The sequence below is a fragment of the Homo sapiens genome, chromosome 2 (assembly GCF_000001405.40).
Source record: "Homo sapiens chromosome 2, GRCh38.p14 Primary Assembly".
Lineage (NCBI taxonomy): Eukaryota > Metazoa > Chordata > Mammalia > Primates > Hominidae > Homo > Homo sapiens.
The window spans coordinates 5,005,708-5,007,765 of NC_000002.12; the positions used below are offsets into that span (position 1 = coordinate 5,005,708).

The following is a 2,058-nucleotide window of genomic DNA, read 5'->3' on the forward strand; positions in this document are numbered from 1 at the left end:
CTTGTCATCCCTACTATCTTCTGTCTAGTCATACTCCTATTCACTGTTCTCAACTACTCGTACATGCCCTGCTCTTGTTTACACTGCCAGTTTATACTGTTTTTCCAAGCCATCATAGCTGATATCTCCTGATGCTATCCCCAAACTGCCACTTTTAACTCTTGAAGTAAATAAATAATCTTTGCTGGCAGGACTATGCTGAATCTCCTTAGGCACTCTCTAATCAGATATCCTGAGTCATCCCAATTCTTAGACCTTTTATACCTGTTTTTCTCCTTCTGTTATTCCATTTAGTTTCTCAATTCATCCAAAACCGTTATCCAGGCCATCACCAATCATTCTATACGACAAACGTTTCTTCTAACATCCCCACAATATCACCCCTTACCACAAGACCTCCCTTCAGCTTAATCTCTCCCACTCTAGGGTCCCACGCTATCCCTAATCCCGCTTGAAGCAGCCCTGAGAAACATCGCCCATTCTCTCCCCATACCACCCCCCAAAAATTTTCGCCACCCCAACACTTCAACATTATTTTGTTTTATTTTTCTTATTAATATAAGAAGGCAGGAATGTCAGGCCTCTGAGCCCAAGCCAAGCCATCGCATCCCCTGTGACTTGCACGTATACACCCAGATGGCCTGAAGTAACTGAAGAATCACAAAAGAAGTGAATATGCCCTGCCCCACCTTAACTGATGACATTCCACCACAAAAGAAGTGTAAATGGCCGGTCCTTGCCTTAAGTGATGACATTACCTTGTGAAAGTCCTTTTCCTGGCTCATCCTGGCTCGAAAACACCCCCACTGAGCACCTTGTGACCCCCACTCCTGCCCGCCAGAGAACAACCCCCCTTTGACTGTAATTTTCCTTTACCTACCCAAATCCTATAAAACGGCCCCATCCCTATCTCCCTTCGCTGACTCTCTTTTCAGACTCAGCCCGCCTGCACCCAGGTGAAATAAACGGCCATTTCGCTCACACAAAGCCTGTTTGGTGGTCTCTTCACACGGATGCGCATGAAAAAAATAAAAAAGACAGATTTGATTATAAGTTAAAGTATAGAGCCAATACCCATGAGTCCATACTGATGTAAATATATTATTGAATAAAGAAATAAATAAGAATGAGAAACAATTTTAAAAAAATCCAAACAACATATATGCTCTACCTCCAAGGAGGTGCAATCCACAGCCCCATCCCCTAGGTGTGAGCTGAGCATACTGGCTTCCTTTCAAAGAGTACAGCCAGAAAAAGGGGACGCTTGACAAACACTGCCTCAGCCAGGTGATGAAGAGTGACATCAACAATTATAAGTCATCTTGATGGTATATGCACTTGATATAAGGTGATAACAATGACACTTTATCTCTGTGGTCTTCCTTTTTCAAACCCACAGCCCAATCTAATCATGAGATAAACATCAGACAAATCCCAAGTAAAGGACATTCTACAAAATACCTGGCCGGTACTCTTCAAACCTATAAAGTAATCAAAAACAAGGAAAACCTGAGAAGCTGTCACAGCCCAGAAGTGCCTAAGGAAACATGGTGGCTAAGTGGAATGTGGTTTTGGGCTGCAAACCTGGAACAAAAAAAAAAGACATTAAGTAAAAACTAGAGAAATCTAAATAAAACATTGGTTTTAGTTAATAAGAATGTATTGTTTTTCAATTGTAAAAGGCTATACTATGCTAAATAAGATCTTTACTAGGAGAACTTGAGCATGAGGTTTAACAGCATTCCCTGAGCTCTCTACAGAGACTGTGATTTTTTTCTGTAGATCAAAATTCGTTGTGTCAAAACATTTATTTTTTAAAAATACAAAATAGTGAGATTACCCCAATTTCTGGACAGTTACATTAATACAGATTGCAACGAAATCATTCGGTGTAAAGTATTTGAATTTAGAAGATGGATTTTTGAGCCAGACATCATCTCAGAATGCCTGTTGCTCCCAGTGACTTGATTTAAAATGTGGAGACTGAGTCTCCAATAAGACAAACGACTCGTCTAAATTCCTCCAGGGATCGAATCATCTTAGAAATAATCTCTTCTG

The 2,058-nt window shown here is 40.6% G+C and overlaps 1 annotated feature.

The window, feature by feature from the left end:
* Nucleotides 294–936: an enhancer, noted in NCBI's record as "OCT4-NANOG-H3K27ac-H3K4me1 hESC enhancer chr2:5146134-5146776 (GRCh37/hg19 assembly coordinates)". NCBI's record gives its function as "activates a minimal SCP1, AML or CMV promoter by ChIP-STARR-seq in naive and primed H9 embryonic stem cells {active_cell/tissue: H9 hESC(naive and primed)}" and the evidence as "EXISTENCE:reporter gene assay evidence [ECO:0000049][PMID:30033119]".